Below are 23,522 nucleotides of genomic sequence, written 5' to 3' on the forward strand. Positions count from 1 at the left end.
GCTCACTGCAACCTCCACCTCCCGGGTTCAAGCGATTCTCCTGTCTCAGCCTCCCAAGTAGCTGGGACTAGAGGTGTGTGCCACCACACCTGGCTAATTTTGTATTTTTAGTAGAGACGGGTTTCACCATGTTGGCCTGGCCGGTCTCGAACTCCTGACCTCAGGTGATCCATCTGCCTTGGCCTCCCAAAGTGCTGGGATTACAGGTGTGAGCCACCACGCCCAGCCAATGAAGCACTTAGATAAAAGTTATCCTCTAAAACAATGATCCCCAACCTTTTTTGGCACCAGGGATGGGTTTTCTGGAAGATTTTTCAAGGACTGGGGTTGAAGATAGGGTTTCAGGGTGAAACTGTTCCACCTCAATCATCAGGTCTAGTTTGATTCTCATAAGGAGCGTGTAGCCTAGATTCTTCGCCATGAGTGGTTCACAATAGGGTTCATACTCCTATGAGAATCTAATGCCCCCACTGATGTGACAGGAGGCAGAGTTCATGCGGTAATGCTCGCCCGCCACTCACCTCCTGCTGTGCAGCCCGGTTCCTAACAGTCCACAGACCGGTACCAGCCTGGGGCCTGGGGGTTGGGGACCCCTGCCCTATAAGAAATGTCAATTCAACTTGAAGTAGATATGTTAACAAGCAAAAAGCAGGATCATGTCTTACATTAAAAACTATATAATAGTGTTTATTTCTTCAAAGAGTGCATATAGGTACTTTGTATGGGAAATCACTATTTCACTCATGATTTTTTGTTTCATTGTAATTACAAAATGATAAAAAGTTAATGAGTGCCATAGGGAATCTTTATGTGCCTTATACACACTTTAAATAAAGTGTACAGTTTTGTAATTTTTTTCATTTTTCCCTAATTTTTAAAAATTTTATTTTTAAGGCATAATTTTTTGTTTGTTGAATTCAGTAATATACACTGGAATTTATACTTCATATGTGTTTATTTCATTTTTTTCTAGCAATTCAGCTTTGTTATGTTTTATAAAAGTACTGATTCATGACAGATTGGATATTTTAAAAACCAGTCCTTTCCCATAGAATTAGAGAAGTGCTGATTTAGTAGGTTGCATTGATTATAGGCTAAAACTGAAACAACAAAAACTTTATCACCAGCAGAAGGAATTCATTTTACTGAAGTATGATTAGTTAAGCTTTTTAAAACAGTTTAGCCTTGTAATAATTAAGAGAAATGTGCACTTAGCCAGGTCAATTCTGAAAATTAACCAGCAAAATATACAATGAATTCTCAGCTATGCAACATATGTTACCAGGACTTAGAACCCAGGCAGCCATATTCTATATAAAGCAAGGATAACATGTTTCACTGTCTGTTCTGTTTTATTCCTGGCTACCTGGACTAGTTCTGCTGGAGTCCATATGCAGGGCAAGACAACCAGTAGGGCTAAAACTGATTATATAAATAGAATTTCTGAAAAAGTATTATAAGAGGAAAGAGCAGTTTCCTCCCTCAACTCTTTCAACCTTTTTTCCCCCCGGAAAAAAGATAAAATGAAGTTAATGGACAATTTGTGAAGAATAGTCCAACTTACCTTTTTAAAATTGGAAGATCCCTTTTACACAAAGATTTAAACAGATAATCTATTATATGACCACTTATAGCTAAAACACCCTCAAGTTTAACAAAAAGGACAGTTATTTGATAGATTTAGGTATGTGGACAGCCAAACAAGCAGAAACCATTTAAGATAAGATAATCCAGGTAACGGTTGGTGAAGATAACTAACTTTAGGATCGAGTTTAGACTTAATGTTGACTGGCACGAGGATGCTGAGATTTAAAGAAGTTAATATGACTTGTTCAGAGTCACAAAGCCAGAAATTGGTAGTCATGTTCAAGTCTATGGCCGAATTCTGCTCCCTCAATAGCCATATTTTTCAACCCATGAGTTGTGATCCATGAGCAAGTCAGAAATCAACTTAGTGGGTGACAATCAGATTTTCTTTGAAATATTAACAAATGGCCAGAATACAATAGAATATACAAAATGGTTTAACCAATGTAGAGGAAAATCAGTGTCGTCAGAGAGAAGCCTGATACTGACACAGAAGTTTCTCTGCCTATTTTCCTCTGCTCAGCCCGTTTTCTGTCTGGAGGCTGCCTTGATTCATTCCCCTACTAATCACTTTGATTTTCCTTCTCTTCCAGATGTACAGCTTGTGCAGATGAATATTAGGTGGTGGGTAGAGATGCTCCCTCTGCTGTAGAGTGGCTTTGGTGAAGCCAACCAACCCACAGACCTTACCTCTATAAGGAGGGCTGTTTGTTGTTTGATTAGTTTATGCCTCTGATGTATATCTGGTTCCTTGAAATTTTTATTAATAAAATGTAACCCTCTGTATAACCTCACCAAAGTAAAATCTCAAAAGGCATTAATTCTGGAGTCTTGCAAACTCCTGGGTGAGCCCTGCCTGTGTGACCCAGGGAATACTACTTAGCCTCTCTGAGTCTCAGTTCTTCAGTTATACAACCGAAATAATACTAATGGTACCTAACCCGAAGTTGATGATTAGAAAAATATATGTGTAAAGTAGCCAATACAGGGCCTATCACATGCTAGGTATTCAATAATTGCTAATTATTATATCATAGTTATAATATTAATTTCTAAGTATTTGAACATAATAAAATCCTCTAGCACTAAAACCATGGAAAAGATTTAGTGTTTCTTTTGGAATCCGAAGACTTTTCTGGATTTGTTGCTAGCACAGTTGCCCAGGAAGAAGTGTGACTAGCCAGTGGGTGTTTGGGGGTGAAATCCAGCCTGTGCCCTGCTAACTACTAACACTGTACCTCAGTGTAGAGCTGCAGCTAATAGGGAAAGCACTGTATCTGCTAAATGGAGCTCTGTCTCCTGAGTCATTAAGCCAGTTAGCACTGTCCTACAGAAGCTTGGAAGTGCCAGTTAGTAGACTTTTCCATTTAGTAAAGTGCTGAATAAATAAACTTTTACTACAACTGGTTTCTTTAAAGTGTTTGTACTTCTAATGATATTCTAGAACAGTTTTGAATTTTTTTCTCTTTGTCATCACATAGATGCTTGTAAAACCAGCCGAATATCAGGAATAAACTATTTATAACATAGGTTGACATGGTACTATTTGAAATGTTTTGTGGACTGCAGATGTTTCATAAGGATTCTTTATTCTTTTTCCTTCCATTCCTTGATGTTATGGAATATGTCAGAAGGCTTTTTTAAGGTCACCATATATCTAACCTCTTGAAAACGTATACTCTTATTTCAAAGCTCTAAGAAACTGGTACCTGGATCACTAGACCCAAATTTAACTTCAGCTTGCTCAGTTTACATCTTAAACTCCATTTAAAAATTGTTATTGTGCTATTAGAGAAAAGTCCCATATGATACCCAATTTGTATTTTGAAATTCAGCTGGATAAATTGAAATGCTGAAAGTGAGTTATGCTATTGCAACACTCACCATATATTAATAACTGAACTGATATTTGCGGGATAAGGTTTTTCTATCAGAGAAAAATAAAATGATGTTAAACTGCTAGATTCCTTGGATGGTTAGTTCTTTTCTGGGGTGAAAGACTTGAGCAACACTAGACCCCAGTATACACAACCTCAAAAACTAATTGAGGCTTTGCCCTATAATATAATAAATGGCCCTATACTTTTCGTATTTCTATATTTTACTACTCTAGAAATATTTCCATTTGGAAATGTTACCTATCCACAACAGAATTCAGCATTCACAGCAGTTAAATATAACAAACTATACACACCCCTGCCCCACCCCCCTGACACACACACACCAAGGATAAATCTTAAAAACAATAATATTGAATACAAGAAAAAATACATAAGTACATATATTTCTTTTTTAAGAGTACATGAAACAGAAAGATAATGTAAACTCGTGAGAGTAGTTATCCCAAGAGGAAGGTGAGGGAAAAAGGACTACAGATGGTCAAAAAGTATTTCCATTTAATCTATGATATTTTGTTGATTAAAAAATTCTTGAAGAAAATATCTCAAACTGTTACTAGTTGTTAATGCTGTGCTGTGGGAAAATAATCATTTGTTATGTTACTCTTTTTACATATCTGCATTTTAAAACTATCTCAACAAAATAATTTCAAATTTTTTACAAAGGTTTTATCTCATGTTATCTACAGCAAAAACAAAAATAAAAACAAAAACATCACCAGATCTTAAAGAACTTTCAAGGCATAATTAGTTTCATGGTTTTGATGTCGATGCTCATCTCAAAGTATAGTAATGAATGCGATCACACTTTTTCTCATTAGTACAAACTCCTCATTTGTCTAGTACCTTTCAAAAAGTTACGTTTACTTCCATTTTCATTGTTAGCTCAGTCCAAAAACAAGAACAAATATTTATTGAGCACCTATTGTTTGCCAGAAACTGCTGTAGGCAGAGGATAAACCAATGGACACAATAGACTGGGAATCAGCAGACTACAGCCCTTGGGCCAAATCTGGTGTACCATGTGTTTTTTTTTAAATAAAGTTTTATTGGAACACATTCATGCCCATTTGCTTACATATTGCCTTTGGGTGCTTACAATAGCAGAGTTGAGTAGTTGTGACAAAGACTATATGTCTCACAAAGCCTAAAATATTTACTTTAAATATTTCTTACTTTTCACAGGAAAAGTTTAGTAACACCTAAAATAGTCAAAAACCTCTGCCCTCATGGAACTTACATTCTATTATGGAGACAGATGGCCACAAAATAAATAAGTTTTAGTGTGGTTGATGGTGATACATGCAACCAAGATTAAGAAAGCAGAGGAAGGGGATATGCAGTGTTGTGTGGAAGTCAGAGAAAGCCTTGCTGCCAAGCTGACCGTGGAGCAAAGATCTAAAATAGATGAGGGCCATGTGAAAAGCTGAGGGAAGCTCTTTCTAGGTAGGGGAAGCAGCAGGTGCAAAGGTCTGAGGCAGAAATTTCAAGGAACTTTAGGAGGTCGGTATGGCTAGAATGGTGAAGGAAGATGAGAGGAGGTCAGAGAGTCCACACGGAAAGGCAGAGCACAGCCTTGCAGGTCATTCATTATAAGGAGTTCAGCTTTTACTCTGAGTAAGGGCCCTCATTTGTCTGTTGTAAAATCTAGACTGTTCATTTCATTTAGAAACAGAGGCCAAAGCTATAGATACTGACTCCTTAGGTCAAATGCTATTCAAGTCTGAAAACTTCAATTCTAACCTCGCCAGCAATGGTAAGGATCGCCACACTGCCAGTTCTTACCAGTGCTACCAGGGGAAGAAAGCAAGAAAACTGGTGACTATATGTTGCCACAATTTGAAAAACATTTCTGTGACACATCTATCCCATAAGTTATCCATGATGACACACTAGTGTCGGCACTAGAGAGCACATGCTATGTAAGGTTTTATTTCAGGCCAGTAGGTTGGCCTCAATAACATTAAATTTCAAACTGAGGATTTGGGGTATATTTTTCTTAGATATTTGCCAAGAATGTAATTGATCACTGGCTCTACATCTGAATGTGTTCAGCCACCTTCTACGTGCCCCTAGGCAGTTTAATTCCTCTGGGAATGCTTGGGACCTTCTGCACAGAAGAATGGGTAGACCTTTCACAGAGAGTTCATTCCGTGGCAGCTACCATACCTGCCCTCCAGAATTTATAGTCTAATCATGAGGAAAAGATCATAGAAAGCCCCTTTCAAATGTATATATTTCTCTTAAATGCCTCTCAGATCTTCATATATTCTAGCCCACTATCTTTAGGCAGGTATGTTTTTATTCCTTTTTTTTCCCTAAGGTAGAAATTGCTCAGGCTGAGAGATTATGTGACTTTTTCAGATTCACTTAATTAATAAATGAAAGAGGATGTACTAGTGGTCAGGTATCTGGCTTCTCATACAATGCACATTTTTTTTCTATCCTGTTTTTTAAGTCAATGATCAATTTGTGTCATAAATATATGAGTTAGAATCTGTATCACCTCAATATAATATACACCCTTCTAAAATATAAAGCATGACTATGGGTAACAAGTATTGAAAGTATGCCAAAATAGAAATATTGCTGCTCCAATCATCCAAAGCCACTATGTCCACGTTTAATGCAGACTTATAATTCTTGAAAATACTGGTGAACTACTATTCTCTTTTGTGGATCTATTTAAATAGCCTTATTTTTTTGTGCAGAACAAAACTTATATTGAGGAAAGAAGAGAAATATTCTAATACCAGACTATGAGCTCCTCGAGGGCAAGATCTGTGTATAATTTTTCTCTTTACTCTCCAACATCCAGCATATAATAAACACTTAATAAATATACAAATGCTTATCATTGATACAAGACTGTCTTTATTTTTCCCATTCATTTGTGTTCCTAAGTGGCAGTTGATTTCTCATTAAAGTAGTAAAAAATCTGTAACTTCGATTGTTTCCAACATTAGCTCCTGTAGTTTTAGTTATTGTTGATTTTTGAAAGATTTAAATTAAGGGTCTGTCTTCAGGAGCTCAAACATCTAAATGAACGTATGAATATTGCCATGTAATTTTATGTTTGAATCCCATAGACAAGTGACTGGATTTTTCTCTTTGCCTCTGGAGATCTTGACATCAAATAGATTTCACCTACATGTGTTTTCTCTTTTGAATGGATTTAAATCATATTTCTTCAATTTGACTTTTTCCAAATAATCATCTGGTAAAAATACTTTATTATGTGTAAGAAAAAGATCAATATAACTTTACTTAAATGTATAGTTTTTTCTCAGTTGTTGGTTTGTCAGCCATGATCCAAGATAAGGGCTTTTTTTCTTTCATTAACCCCTCAAGGCTCTCATTTGCAAAGTCAATGGGACAGTTAGGCATGTATTTTTTAGGGCATCTTTGTAGCTTTGATTCTATATTTTAAAAGATGCCCAAACTATGGCATTATTTCCCATAAGATCTCTAAGTTATTGGTTGATCAAAATATAAATGAGACAATAAACTACATTTGCATATTTCTGTGGATGAGTTTAAACATCCTTGTTTCTCCTGCAAGGTCTTTCACTTGAGTTAGGCCAGCCAACTGACATATTGCTCATTAATCATACATATTAACTGGAGTAGTTAATGCTTCAAAATCCAACTTACCATTCTGTCCACAGGGACTGGTTTGTGTTTTCTAAATGTGATGACATATGCTTCAGACACTGCTAATTAGGCCTTTCCCTTGAAAATTCATCCTGACATGTTTCAAGAACACTTTTCTCCCTTGAGTACAAGTTCATTAAATTATTAATATCCTTTTATAAGTCTTGTAGGACTACTTACACAATGCAGCTTTCTCTGTTTTCAAAACTATAGTTTATAATGAAGGATGAAATAGATCTCACTTCCTTATACTGTATATCTTTTTTTCCAGTCAAAAACAATGGGCTGGGTAAATATCAGAGAATAATAGATACTATATTCAGTTACATAAAATGTTAATGTAAGATTAAAAATATTTTTTAGCCTGGGCAACATAGAGACACCCATCTCTACAAAAAAATTAACAATTTGCTAAGTATGGTGGCACATACCTGTAGTCCCAGCTACTTGGGAGGCTGAGGCAGGAGGATACTTAAGCCCACGAGGTTGAGGCTGCTGTGAGCAATGATCACACCACTTTACTTCAGCCTGGGTGACAGAGCAAGACTCTTATCTCAAAAAAAAAAAAGATTTGCACATGGAAATGGAAATGGAAATGTTATACGGTCAGCTGTTTGTATCTGTGGGTTTTACATCCGTGGATTCAACCAACCATGGATTGAAAATATTTGAAAAGAAAATATGGTTACATCTTACTGAACATGTACAGACATTTTTTTGGTCATTATTCCCCAAACATTACAATATAACAACTATTTACATGGCATTTTCATTGTACGTATTATAAGTAATCTAAAGATGATTTAATGTATATGAGAGGGTGTGTGTAGCTTATATGCAGATTCTATACCATTTTATATAAGATACTTGAATGGCTATGAATTTTGGTATTGGACAGTGGGGATCTGGAACAAATCTCCCACAGATACCAAGAGATGACTGTACATATAATCGACTCTACACACCTGTAAGGAAGTGTTATAAGCAATCTAAAACAGATAACCTAAAATTAGTTCTATTGAGCTTCTGTATTAAATGATGAATTTGGTGGCAATTTTACCTTCTGGCCTATTATCTACCTAAGCAGGTGCTTATACCAACCTATATAATATGACCTTTTTAAGACGAAACTCCTAACGGCTTCACATCACAATCACAGTAATGAAACTCAGAGCACTCACCATAATCTACAAGGCCCAGCCTAATCTGGCCTGCCTGCCACCCAACCACACACTTGCTCTTCTCTAGCAACCTGTGTTTCTTTCTATTCCTTGAAGAATTTGTTCTTGCTGTTCCCTCTACTGGACAGCTTTCCCTGGATGCACCTGGATGCTCTTTCTCAGACCTTGCATGATCCTTGGACTCACTTTGTTCACATTTCTGCTGAGGGCTTCCCTGATTTTTCTATCTAAAACAGCACACCTTCCTGTATAACTCTGTACTGCCTTACCCTGCTTTATTTTTCTGTATTTCCTATCACTATCCAAAATTCGTATCTTTATTTATTTAGTTCTTAGAGATGCAATAAGTATAGCCTAGTGGTAATGGTCAGAGATGATACAGCCAAGTTGCCTGGATTCGAGTCTTAACTCTGGTGTTTACTGGCCCCATAACCTTGGGCAAGTTATGTTGTCACTAATTTGCCTCACCCTTAAAATGGGAATACCTCAAATATATTTTGAGGATTAAATGAATAAATATGTGTAAGTTTCTTTGAATGATATTTGGCATCTATTACTATTATTGTCCCCACTGGTATATAAGCTCTATTGAGACAGAATTCAAGGTATTTCCAGAGCATGGTAAAGCATCTAACCCACAATAGGGACTTCGTAAATACTTCTTAAATTAATTTATGAACAATTCTGGGCACATGCCAGCTGAAAGTGGGGAAAATATCTTATAAAAACACAGCGAAAAGCCAGCAGGTGAACAAATAGAGTTTAAAAGTCATAATGGAAATTTTATGTAGTTGAGAAAGCTGAGTTGGTTATGTGAGTTTTGTAAATGTAAATGCATATGTACTAGATGTAGCAGGAATGAGGGGAACAAGATGTATTTAGGGTTTCTGCCTTTAGGATACTTCCCTAGAGGTGAACAGAGAAAAAGTCAAAGAACATAAAAAGAATCTGGCGACTGACCAACAATTGCTGCCGGCAGGACCAACTGGGTCACCAGCTTTCCCAGGAAACCCTAACCTTACTTTGGGAAATGTTGGATCTGATGGGAGCTGAGGGAAGGTAAATTGTAAAGCACAGACTTCAAATTACTTTTACCCAGTTACAGCTTCAGGTGACATTGGATGTTAAGTTTAAGGAAGCGAAAAGTAGTATTCAAATAAAGAAAAATACTCTCGGTTTTGTACAATAGTATGTCCCAAGTGTTCAGTTTTTAAAGGTCATCGATACATTTTCCAAATATTTAAATCAATCATGCAAGAAAAAGAAGTGGTGAGCTGGGAAATGCCGTCTGAACACACTTGATCTAAAGCCTGGGGATAAGTATCAGAAGAGAAGAGAACCGAAGAGCGCACACACGTCTAAGACAGGTTACCGCAGGTGCATCCAGGGAAAGCTGTCCCTGTTTGAGGACTTTTCAGGGGATATAATGTCCCAGGTTGTTGCTGAGGTTATGTAAATGACTTTTTCTACCCACATTTTCCTCCTATCCCCATGATCCCTCCACTCCAGAGGGAAACTGGAGTGCTGAGGTCATCTATAACCAAATGAACAAGTCTGTCTAAATGCCTGTTGCAAATAATTGTCCCTTCTCTTCCACCATGAAGGCAAGCTCTAGGTCTTAATCATCTTAATATATTTTCCCCAACACAGCAGGTAAAACAGACAGTAAATTTCTGCCAAATAAAACTTACTCACATCTTTTTGATAGGGTTTTTTTCTGAAATCAGCACTTAAGTATCAAAATGCAATTTAATCCATTAAATTCACTTCAATTAATAGAGAATTACATAAGGAAAATTTTTCCATTTCAAAATTGGGTGACCTTTATAGTTCCACCTCACTGATCCTCTAGAGTTCTCTTCATTTGTCAGACAGTTATTGAATGACTGCAAAATGTAGTTCTGTGAACTTATTTTGTACTAGTCAATTCAATCCTGGACACTGAATATGTAGCTCTAAAATTCTACCCCTTGAGTATATCTTTTAGATTATGTAACTCAGAAATACTGAAACTATGTCCTGTCACTTTACCTTAATTGAAATCAAGATATCCAAATATTACTAATGATTATTTGTTCCAATGCTCACTGGTGATGCTGAGCTTGTTCCTGTTTCACGGGCTTAGCCTCTGACCTGTCTGAAGTTTGTAGATGAACTTCACTACACTGTTTTTATTTTAACATTTCTATTAAATAAGACTTATCATTTTATATGCATTATTTGTCCCTCTGCATGTCAATTTTGTTGACTCTAAACCTACAAACATAACAGTTCCCATAATAAAAGTGAAGGAGAAAAGTCTTCATTCATGAGGCATTGTGAAAGTGGAATGTTTTAGAGATGTGGAAGCCTGGCAGCATAATTCTCAGACAGGAAGGCAATGTATATAAAGGCCAAATTCCCCTTCTCCAGTATGGGAGTGTGCTGCCTGTGAACATCCAAATATGGAGGAAAGAACGTTTTCACAATGAGCTTTCAGCTTCCACCAGCTTCATGTGGCACCAAGATGTTAAAATACATCACAGTATATTCAGGAAATTGTTTAGCCATACCCTACCACTGCCCCATCCATGATACTAGACCAATGAAGTGGCTTGGCAAATATTGGCAATGACAGGCCTAGAAAACAGAGCCAGAAGTTGGGCCTTAGAGAGTTGGTGGTGTGGCAAGGCAGTTAGGCATTCCAACAAATCTAAATGGAAGGTTTGGGTTGGCCTCAGAATCAGGGTAGAGAGACGTGAGGGCAAGCAGAAATCAGGCAAGCAGAGGAGAACTAGGAAGATCCACGTTCCAAAGGGAAAAGCAGCAAGTAAATGGGACATTTACAAAATCTGACTTGGTAGTGAGAAGAAGAGAAGCTCAAAAATTATAACAGCAAAATAACCTAAATTGTGAATGATCGGGATACTCACATCAAGGAAACGTTAATCCTGTTTTAATGTTTTAATGAATCATTTATTCAGATTATCATTTATTGAACTGTAGCTCAAGAGGTTTAGATAATGATGTCACAACTTCTAACTTGTTTTGAAAAGCCACATTAGTTACAGATAGAGTCCATCTAAGGGGGGATAAAAGGAAAGGGGCAGAGAGATGAGTAAATACTGGAATGAAGTAATTTAAAAATGTTAAGATCCCAGCCTCAATAATGTTCATCTTTCCTTAGCTCTGAACCTATTTCAAGTCATTTGTTCATGCTGAATTGCATTTTCTTCTCATGTCCTTACGAGAGTCACTTGTCAGATCCCTGAAGTAATGAGACCTTTATGACTAGTGTTGTTACTGTCATAGATACATTTTAAAATATCTATTAAGAAATAAAATGTACTTAACATATTATGTCTTCCTCAGTAAGTATTCCATTCTCATTTTTACACATATCATTGAGTTCAAAATGTAATTCTTTACATCAGGCATAAATCTTATTTCCTTTCATGAAGTTAAAAAAGAAAACTAAACTTCCCAGATAGTCTGTAATGTTTTCCTGTGTAATTAACACCTCATTCACAGTTGTGTGTGCCAGTCAAGGCCCTGTCTCCTCTTTCCTAACATTTCCTTAATACCTTGTTCAGGCTGAGCTGATGCCTAACAGTGTGCAAAATACACATATGGAAACAGGGGAATGTTAGAGAGAAGTCAGCTGAATTACCGTGACCTGCCAGTTTAAAGAGAGTACTTAGACACAGGTTTCATTTTGTGGGTTTGGGGTCTGTGTGCCATCCCTTAAGTCCAATTACTGCTGTAACCTCATCTTCTTCATCATCATCCTCATCAACAATAAAAACCATCTGTCAAATGAATACCAATAGTCCATTATTTGCATTCTTCTCTTCTTAATGCTTCTAAGAGGGCCAAATGTTTATAAATCAAGTGTCTAATTTAAGATACACGTTCTCTGACACTGCAAGTCATCCTGGAAGCATTAGGTTATTTTTACTGTTGAAAATTTGTAGATGTCATTGATTTAAATAGCCTTGTATCTTTTTTTCTTGCTGTTAATAGTGACCCTCTGTGTCCTTGTGCACAGAAAATGCAAGTGGAATCAAGCTTTAGATCATTCAAATAAAATCATTCCATTGTGGGAATCTCCTGGCTTCATTTTTAAAAGTTATATTGAAATTTAACATACATTAAGAAAAATGTGAATGTCATAAGGGTACAGCTTGATGCTTTTTTATAAAATGGACATACTTATGCAACCACCACATAGTCCAAGCAACAGAACATCATCACCCCAAGAAACTCCTCTCATGCTTTCTTTCAGTCACTTTCCACTCTCACATGGGTAACCCGTTATAACTTCTAATAGGATAGATTAGGTTTGCCCATTTTGTTCTTTGTATGATTTGATCAACATTATGTTTATGAGAAACATTTATATTGTTGCATGTAGTTCAATTTCATTCATTTTCATTGCTATCAAATATATACTTTTCCATTGTATGAATAAACCACATTTTTTTTATTTCTACCTCTAATGGGTATCTTGATTGTTATTTTAGATTTTTTAAAAAACTCATATCCACAGTTAAAAGGTGATTACACTTTTCTAAAGGATGCACACTACATATTTTGGAGGTTTTCCTAGAGACATTATCTAACATTTTTATATAAAAATGGAGAATTGGAGAGAGGGTAGTAGAAGGGCAATGAGGAAAGGAACTAATATTTATTAGAACTACCATGTACTGGACATTTTGGTAAAAATAGTTGTTTTCTTTTGAATTGTGGTAAAAAATATATAACATAAAATGTACCATCCTTACCACTTTTAAGTATACACTTCAGTAGTGTCAAGTATATTCACATTGTTGTGAAACAGATCTCCAGAACATTTTCATCGTGCAAAACTGAAACTCTATAAACATTAAACAACTCCTTTTTTTTCCTCTTCCTTTTCTTCAGTCACTGGTAACCCCCATTCTATTTTCTGTCCTATGAATTTGGCTTCTTTAGATACTTCATATAAATGGAATCATAGAGTATTTGGTTTTCTGTGACTGGTTTATTTCACTTAGTATAATGTCCTCAAGGTTCCTCCATGTTGTTGCATGTGACAGGATTTTCTTCCCTTTTAAGGCTGAAAATATTCCATTGTATGTTTGTACAACATTTTATTTATCCATTCATCCATTGGTTGACATTTGGGTTAGTTCCACCTCTTGTCTATTGAGAATAATACTGCTATGAACATGGGTATGCAAATATCTTTTCTTAAAACTGTTTCCAATTGTTGGAGTATATAACCAGAAATGGGATTGCTAGATCATACGGTAACTCTATTTTTTTTTTTTTTTGAGAGAGGGTCTCACTCTGTCACCCAGGCATGAGTGCAGTGGTGCCTTCTCAGCTTACTGCGCCCTCCACCTCCTGGGCTGGAGTGATCCTCCCACCTCAGCCTCCTCAGTAGTTGGGACTACAGGCATATGCCATATGCCACCATGCCCAGCTAATTTTTGTATTTTTTTTTTTTTAGAAACGGGGTTTTGCCATGGTGCCCAGGCTGGTCTCAAACTTCTGGCCTCAGGCAATCCACCCTCCTCGGCCTCCCAAAGTGCTAGGATTACAATTTTACAATCCCATCAACCTTGCACAAGTGTTCCAATTTCTCCATGTCCTCACCAACACTTGTTTTCAGATTTGTTGATAGTAGCCATCCTACTGGGTGTATGCAGTAGGAATTTTACCAGTGATCTTTTTATTCCTTTAACAAAGTTGTTGCAAAGTATAAGTACCATTTTACATCAATGAAATCTTAGCACAAAAGGATTCTATAAGAGAAAAAATGGGGCACAGGGATTTTCCAGTCCAGGTGCTCTTGAACTTGACAATGAGCATTTTATTCTCAAAGTTCCACATAATCACAAAACAAATTGAATTCTTTTGTTCTGAGCTGCAAGATATAAGGTGCTCTACAGGATTGCCTGACTTTAAATATGAAATAACAGCTTTAGTTTTAGAGTAGTGGTTCTCATAACATGGTCCCCAGACCAGCAGCATCAGCATTACTGCAAACTTGGTAGAAATGCAGATTCTCAGATCTCACCCCAGACCTACTGAATCCAGAACTCTGAACAGCCAAGCAGGTGGCACACACCTGTAATCCCAGCTACTCAGAAGAGGGGCTAGCTCTATTACCGTGACCTGACAGTTTAGAGAAAGTACTTAAATACATGTTTCATTTGTGGGTTTGGGGTCTGCATATCATCCTTTAAGTCCAATTACTGCTCTAACTTCATCATCATCATCCTCATCAACAACAAAAACCATCTGTCAAATAAGTACCAATAGTCTATTATTTGTATTCTTCCCTTTTTAGTACTCCTAAGAGGGCCAGGTGTTTATAAATCAAAAGTCTAATTTAAGATAAATGTTCTCTCACACTGCAAGTCATCCTGGAAGCATCAAGTTAAAAAAAAGAGCTTTTTAAAGCTATTTTTTATTGAGACAGGATCCATGCTGGTCTTGAACTCCTGGGCTCAAATGATCCTCCTGAGGTTTCCTATGACTGATTTATTTTACTTAGTATAATGTCCTTGAGGTTCATCCATGCTGTTGCATGGGCCAGGATTGTCTTCCTTTTTAAGGCTGAAAATATTCCACTGTATGTTTGTACCACATTTTGTTTATCCATTCATCCATTCATGGACATTTGGGTTACTTCCACTTCTTGATCCTGAGGAGGATTGTTTGAGACCAGCATGGATCCTGTCTCAAAAAAAAAAAAATTCTGCGAGTGAGGCTCAGCAATCTATTTTAAAACAGCCCTCCAGGTGACACTCATGCATGCTCAGGTTTGAGCCCTCCTGGGTTTAGATCATTAGGCAGATATCTAAATTATTGTCTAATAATCTCCACACTGTTGCCAAACAGAAAACTGACATATTGAGCACTTTCAGGTTTCCAGGGCAACTTAATAGAGTAAATCTGTGTTTTGCTCTTTATACCACAGTTTTCAGGAAAATGTTGGATTAGCCCAGTTATAATAATGCTGGAACACTAGATCTCTATCCATCTGAAAGTTCACCCAAACACTAATTTATCAGAGTTGCTTCTGAACAAATGGCCACCTGAGAATAGCCACCCTAACCAGGAAGACTTATTCCGGCTCAGCAGATATCTGACTTATCTCCAGGATTTTCACTCCACCCACACCCAAGTCCCCACCTTTTGTCTCACTTTTGGGTCTAGAGAGAGCCTTGTAATGAATGGACCAAAACAGCCAGAGATAGAAGTGAAAGCAAACATGCAAACATTCCTCCCATTGGCATCAGGAGCCTTCTTCCTGTACCTACTACCAACCGCCGCAGGCCCTGGCCCCAGCTATCCTCAACCACTTCCCCAGAGCCCTGCAAAGAAAATAACAAAGATTCACAGATTAGACTTTCCTCTGAAAAGTGGGGGAATCTGATTTTAGTCCTAGGAAGGGAGTTGTGGTTTATGCCTTTTTTCTTGGCCTAATTATTAATAAAATACTCCCCCAAAGTATCCTAGCTTAAGGAGTAAAATTCACCCTACCAAAAATCTACAGTTAGCTCCTTTTTTAAAAAACAGAACATTTATTGTGTGACTAATCATTGAAATTCTTAAGATAAACTGGATGCTACAACAGCTGCCCTCTTGGGTTTAGATGTTGTTCCTTCTCAGAATCCACGCCTGAATCTGCGGTATACAATATTCAGGTGCCTCATTCGACCAGTCCTGGTATTATTTCATCTTTAAGCCTTGGCACTTCAGTTATACTTCCTCTTGCACTTAGCAGGGTAGCCACATTTGCCACAGGATGACTTCTGAAGGTGGCAGGCCTTAGAGCCACAGTGGTGGCACAATGTGTGCGTCTTACTGCAACACTTTTCAAACGATGGCGTTCCCTTCAGTATCTTGCTTCTGTGGCCAAGACCAAAGAGTGTTGTTAGCTCTTAGGTAGGCTTTTGCCTTTCCCTAATGCTTTTAAGTAGAAGATAGATGATCCTTCAGAGGAACAGGAGACAGTGCGGCTGTATTCGGTGCAGCTTGGGGCCTTGAAGGAGGGAAACAAGACAAGGGAGTTAATTCCTAGGGGTCCTTGGAGAGAAGAACAATGATGTCTGGGAGTAGGCATGGACTATTGTGTTGATAGAAATTGCAGCCCCTAAGAAAGGTGCCATGGCTCACACCTGTAATCCCAACACTTTGGGAGGAGGCCAGAGCCGGAGAATCACTTCAGTCCAGGAGTTCGAGACCAGCCTGGGCAACATAGTGAGACCCTGTCTCTAAAAAAAAAAAAAAAAAAAAAAAAAAATTGAGAAAAAAAGAGATTGTGCCCTGCCTGGACCCATAGCTCTGTTATGCTCTAAAGCTTCCACCCACATTTCTCATCCATCCACCCCTCTCCTCTATCCTCCACAAGTCACTGATACTTGAGACTTAAGTCTCAAGAGTTTTTCCTAAGGTGAATCTTGTTTCTAGTACAGATTGAGCATCCCTAATCTGAAAATTCGAAATCTGAAATGCTCCAAAATCCAAAACTTTTTGAGCAACAACATGGCACCACAAGTGGAAAATTCTACACCTGACCTCACATGACAGGTTGCAGCCAAAACACAGTCACAATTTTGTTTTATGCACAAAATTATTTAAAATAGTGCATAAAATTACTTTCAGACTATGTGGATAAGGTATATATGAAACATAAATGAATTTTATGTTTAGACTTGGGGCCCATCCCCAAGATATATCATTATGTATATGCAAATATTCCAAAACAAAAAAAAAATTACAAAACACTTCTGGTTCCAAGCACTTTGGGACAGATGATAATCAACCTGTATGTATTTGGTGGTAAGCCTAACAAAAAGGTAACTGCACTGCTTTGTATAGCACATCTTTAAAAATTGTTCAAATCTGATTTAAGGTGCTAATAGAAATTCAAGCCTAGAAACTACATTTAATGTGAAAATATGTGCTGGCCAAAGTTGTGTGCACACAATATGTTCCAATTACTTAGCAACCCCCAAAAATATTTTACCTGCATGTCCACTCGGCAAAATCAGCCTTCTCTCTGCCCTCTTCCAGCATGCACACTGACACTCTGACACTCTGACAATGGCAAGGCTGGCTGAAATCAGCAGTGAAGTGCAGGAATCTGGATGCTTGCCCTCACCATATCCTGAATCTTGGATGCTTTTTACTCCTCATCTTAACACATGCCAATGTTATGTTACAATATCTGACATTTGGTTTGTTTCAACATTAACTCTGCGATAAAAGTTAATCAACAGTCAGCTTCATTTTCCCCGCTTCCTGCCCAAATCAATATACATGACTCCTTTGAAGAAAGGGGAATGTAAACTAAAGTTGATCCTATGGTTTTAACTTACCTCAACCTAATGTATGCTTAAGGAAAGAACCAATCACTTACCTAGATACCATTGATTTAGTTTCTTTGTGTTGTTGTGAATTAATAAATTACAGTGTTTCCACTTTCTAAGTAAACTTTTTATCATTGATTAGTCCTCAGAGGCGAATTTACTTATATTTACTAAAAGACCAAATATACTGATTTTCAGAAAATGTAAACTGCAAGACTAGAACATGGTGTACATGTGTATAACTTGTTTTAAGTATAGAGAATATTAAATTATATGTTCATTTCAATCTTACAATCCTCCAAAAGAACTGCATGGTTTAGATCTATAAAATGAAAGATAAGAGAAAACACTACTATTAATAATTATATTTGTGTTTTTAATTTTTTTTTTTTTTTTTTTTGAGACAGAGTCTCTGTCTCCCAGGCTGGAGTGCAATTCTCCCGTGTTCAAGCAATTCTGCCTCCAGAGTGGCTGGGATTACAGGCACATACCACCATGCCTGGCTAATTTTTTTTGTATTTTTAGTAGAAATGAGGTTTCTCCATGTTGGCCTGACCTCAGGTGATCCGCCTGCCTCGGCCTCCCAAAGTGCTGGGATTACAGTTGTGAGCCACCATGCCTAGCCTATGTTTTTAATTTTTAAAAAATTTTAAATCTGTTCTGTAGATGTTAACTAGGGCTATTTATAGAAAAGGCTGCTGTTTTCATATAAAGTCTTTGATGGTATCACCTAATTTCCCTTCAGGAACAATGGACACATTTCTCATCCAATCCCAGCATTGTATTTGCTTGTTTATCTCTGAAAACTTACTCTACTGTTTCAACTGGCATTTAGACCTCCTACCCCACTTCAAGACTAGATGAAAATCAGAGGAATCAGGCAACTTTGCCTGACATTTTCAGAGCAAGAAAATTGGTGAATAAAATGGGCCTTTCTGTGCCTACACTTATAATTCTCCCCCAAAAAAGCATTGAAAAGATCAACCTAATATCTTTACTTTATAAGTATCAATAAGGCTTAATATGTACAGACAGTTTACCAATGTGATAATCAAATAGAATTGTTAGTAACAATGAAATAGAGTGACCATATTTAGAAAACATATGCTCATAAATGCTTCTCATTCAAAATGTATGCTTTCAATACCTAAGCTCACTTCCCTCTTTTAAAAATTTAAAAAATAAAAAATGTTTAAGAAAATAATTTTATAATAAATAATGAAATGCTTTTTAAATGTTATTAGATTCACGGGTACTTAGAGAGGTTAGCACAACATCTTGCGATTGGAATTTAGCTAGTTGTGAACTTGGGAGAGTTAATATTTGGTTGTAATCATGAAGATTAACATGCAAGAATTATACATTTTACTTCACTTATAAAAACAGCTTAACCATCTAAAGGGAAGAAAAGAGCTAATGTGCTTCATTCAGTATATGTAATTACAATAGGGCTTAGGGCAGTGCTTTCCAAATTTTAGTGAGCATAAAAATTATCTGAAGTAGTTTTAAAAATGCAGATTCGTGGCTCCGACCCCCGGGATTCTAAACCGTGAATTCTAGGATGAAGTCCAGGAATATGCATGTTTAACACCCAAACTCACCCTCAAATAACTCATACAAAATTAGAATTCAGACCCCTCTTGGACAACACCAACATAAGATGACAGATGTACTTGTTATTGCATCCGAAACCACAGAATCATCAGATAAAATACCCATCTTAGACCATCTTTCATATACTTTATATTACTTTGCTAAAGAACCAAGGTAGATAGCATTTAAAGGGCTGCTGATAAAAGTTAAGGTTTATTCATTTCAGGTACTATACTTCTCATTATGGTCCTTAAAAATTGGCCCACAGCTTTTAAAATTGATATTTAAAAGTCATGTGGAATTGGAATTGTTTCTTAACTTTCTGTTCATTTTTACTGTCTTCAATATTCCCATTTAATATTGTTTGATATTAAAATATAATGGAGTCACAGTATTTATCATCTATTCTTCTTTGGTTTCAAGGGAAGACGAGGGAAAACAGGACCTCCCGGAAAACCAGGACCCCCAGGACCACCTGTGAGTAAACAATACAATGACTGTCCCTTTAAAGAGTCTGTCTTTATGTCTGTGTGTTTACCTAAGGATTATTTTACTCCCCTGTAGATAATGATTTCCTTTATTCTACTGTTTAGAATGACTGGTTTCAGCATTTGGATGAGTAGTTCATACTCTCTATATTCCTAACTCCATCATCACCACAAACCAAGAGATGAGGGAGGCTGGTAATTGTCCATACACCTCACCCACTTCTTTATTACACAAATGGCAATAACAGTAGTGTCTGCTTGAACATCCCAAGCCAAGTGTCCAGATAGATGAATCCTGTTCTGAACCTACCTGAACACCATCTTCTAGATTTCTTAACATCCAGGCTGTTAGAAAATCAGACATCTGGGGAAGCATATCCACTTTTCTTGATATGAAACTATTTTGTTAGTATAATTTCATGATTTGGTAAAAAGTGCTATAAAGATCATCTAACCAGTTAGCTTATCTGGATCCTTTACCCCAAGCTTCTAGAAAAAAAAAATATTCAATTTCTTGTAGTTCTGGTAACTCTGCAGCCTATGAGAGTCTGGTTTGTGTCCAAGCTGCTCCACTGACACTGCACTCTCTGTGGTCACCAACAATCTCTGCATTGCAGATTCCCTGAGCACTTTTCAGGCTTCTTCTTACTTTACTGCTACACAGAAATGTATACTATTGACTGCTCTCTCCTTGAAACTCCCTATTCTGTTGGTTTAGCAACATTGGGTTTTTTTCTCCTATGCCTGGGGCCATCTTTTTGTCTCCATTAACAGCTTTTCTTCTACCCCCTACATGTTGGATGGATTAATGAATGCCAGTTTTTTATTTCAACCCAGACATTGTTGCTGAGTCCCAGGCTGGTACATTCCTTTATTTTTTAGTATCTCCACTTGGAAGTCTCCTAGCTACCACAAAAGTATAATGTCCAAAACTAATCTCTAAAAATAATCCTAGATTTTTTTGTTCTTCATCCTCTTCATCTAAACAGTCTCTAAATCATATCAGTTCTACATCCCAGTAGCCCACAAATCCTCTCCGTCTTCACTGTCAACGGCCTTAGTTTAGACCTCTGTCAATTTGAACCTATATTTTTGAAGTCATCTGAGAGCTGGTCTCATTGCCTCTACCTTCTCCAAGTGGAGCAAAACCTCTAAATCATGACAGCATCTAGGTGGGCTTGGATGGCTTAAAATTCTCTAAAAGCTTAAAACTATTTGATTTTAAATTCCTCAATCGCTTCTTTTTTCTTCAAGAAAGATGGATTCCACATCCTCTACATGCCATTCTGGGCCCTTCATGGTTTGCCTTTTACCTGCCTTGGCCTATCCTCCTCTATGCCCTTCCTTCTTTTGTAATCAGTAATCTTCGCTTACTATTTCAAAAATGCCATCACTTGCAAATGTTCTCCAGTAGGCCTATATATGCTTCTCTCTATCTTCATGACTCAGCTCAAACATTTCTCCTATAGAAGCTTTGCCAGTGCTCTCAGCATTTGAGGTTTCCTCCCATGGTCCTGTATCTTACACCTCGGACAGACACGGCATGTTACTTTGGACTCTTATTTTCCTCATCTGTCTGACCACTGCACTGTGACTTTTTTGAACCTCTATTTTCTCACCATTGCTTAGAACAGTCTCTAGCCTATAGCATGTGATTATTGTTTATTTAATGACTGAGTAACAAATGAATATATTTTGTAGACGAAAAAATTAAAACCAGGTAAGTGACCTAAAGACCAAAAACACCCTGCACCACCACTAGAGGGCCTCAACCCAGTACCCTAGGAATCTCTTAGGATGTGCTCACCTGCCAAAAATGAACATGATTGCTGTCCTGTCATTGATTTCATTTCACTTTAGCCATTCTAGTGGATTGTCCTATTAACAATGCATTGGTGCCAATTGATATTTGTTATATAAAAGCACATTGGGGGAATGAGGGGGTGAGGAAGCATGAGCTGGGTGTCTGCATTAGTCCATTCTCATACTGCTATGAAGAACTACCTGAGACTGGGTAACTTATAAAGAAAAGAGGCTTAATTGACTCACAGTTCCACAGGTTGTTCAGGAGGCATGACTGGGAAGGTCTCAGGAAACTTACAGTCATGGCAGAAGGGAGAAGGGGAAGCAAGCACATCTTCACATGGCAGCAGGAAAGAGCGAGTGTGAAGCGGGAAGTGCACTTTTAAGCAACCTAATCTCGTGAGAACTCACTCACAAGACAGCACTAGGGGGATAGTGCTAAACCATTAGAAACCACCCTCTTGACCCAATCACCTCCCACCAGGTTCCTCCCCCAGCACTGAAGACTACAATTTAACATGAGATTTGGTTGGGGACGCAGAGCCAAACCATATCAGTATGCTAGAATCTAGTCTTTTAAAGGCATCAGTTTTGTTGATTTTTATTTCAAAGTTTTAGGCAAAACAGAGAACACATTGTAAGATCTTTAAAATAATTGTTTCATGCTTTAAAGAAGAAAAGCTGGTGAATGCTAACAGGCAAGATTAGACCTTCGTGTAGTTTTCTAAACCTATGATGCTGCTTTTAAGACAGGCTAATTGTTGTCTCAAAGGAGGAATTTGAATGTTGAAGGCCTTTATGACAAGCTTGCCAAATGTGTAGGAGAGAAGAGGATTACACCGAATTCTGGAATGAGTTCTCAACTATAGATCAAATGAGTTTACTGAAGAATTCAGAAGATTAAAAAACATGTGACTGTATGATAGGATTTATAATATTCAATTCCGCAGACTTTAGTTTGTTGCCAGAGTGTTTGGGGGAGAGAGGTGCTTATTTTTATTTCAAATATAGATTTAGAACTTAAACTCAGCTATGGGTCTGACACACAGTGTTCATTAAATCCTGGGAACATAATATTTGAAAAAAATGGTTTATTAACTTTTTAAATATAATAAAATACCCAATTTGTTAGAAAAATTAGGAAAAAATCTATGCAGAAGACAAAGTGTTTACTTTGGTGGCATGATCTCGGCTCACTGCACCCTCTGCCTCCCAGATTCAAGCAATTCTCCAGCCTCAGCCTCCCGAGTAGCTGGGACTACAGCTGCGCACCACCACGCCCAGCCAATTTTTGTATTTTTAGTAGAGACAGGGTTTTACCATGTTGGCCAGGATGGTCTCGATCTCTTGACCTCGTGATCCACTCGCCTCAGCCTCCCAAAGTGCTGGGATTACAGGTGTGAGCCACCGTGCCTGGCCAGTATTCACTATTTTTAAAGTATCAGCAGAGCACTTGTTATCTCTTAGGATTTCCCAGGGAGCTATTTGTATTTTATTACAATTTACAAATAGCTTAAGAGATGTTCCCCCTTAATTGTGGACATTTTTAGATCAAAACATTATTGTTTTTCATTTATATTTCTTTTCCAACATTGAACCCTTTATGACATGCATCTTACTTTATAGCAAGAAGGAAGTCAAGAAGAGAACAAGAGACGGGTTGGTAGGATCTACAGTTTTTCTAATTGTTACTGGAGTTAGTATATACCTCGCCCCAGTGGCCAGTATGTGAGAATCCTGAAGCATGTGTTAGAATATCTTATGAAAATGTGAAATGTATTTTTTAAAAAATTTTAATTTTGTCTCTTGTCAAACAGTAATTAAATACTATGTAATATCCCTCAAATAAGTGAATATTTTATATCATTTAAACATTATGTTTGAGCAATTAGTCTTTAGGAAAGTTGGAGGGAGACTTTATTCTAGTCAGCATGATTGTCTGCAAAGAACAAAGGAATAGGAATTACC

General features: G+C 37.3%; 1 protein-coding gene and 1 pseudogene across 8 annotated transcripts in view; one reads left to right on the forward strand and one right to left on the reverse strand.

The window, feature by feature from the left end:
* The window catches only part of COL19A1 (collagen type XIX alpha 1 chain), a 345,913-nt gene that overhangs the window by 215,927 nt on the left and 106,464 nt on the right, over positions 1 to 23,522 (forward strand). For all 8 annotated transcript variants that reach the window (NM_001858.6, XM_047418188.1, XM_011535437.3 and 5 more), the window contains one exon: positions 19,687 to 19,740. In NM_001858.6, the coding sequence (NP_001849.2) occupies positions 19,687 to 19,740 (54 nt within the window). The remainder of the gene's footprint in view (positions 1 to 19,686; positions 19,741 to 23,522) is intronic.
* RPL37P15 (ribosomal protein L37 pseudogene 15) lies at positions 15,907 to 16,200 on the reverse strand (annotated as a pseudogene).

This window comes from Homo sapiens, chromosome 6 (assembly GCF_000001405.40).
Source record: "Homo sapiens chromosome 6, GRCh38.p14 Primary Assembly".
Classification (NCBI taxonomy): domain Eukaryota; kingdom Metazoa; phylum Chordata; class Mammalia; order Primates; family Hominidae; genus Homo; species Homo sapiens.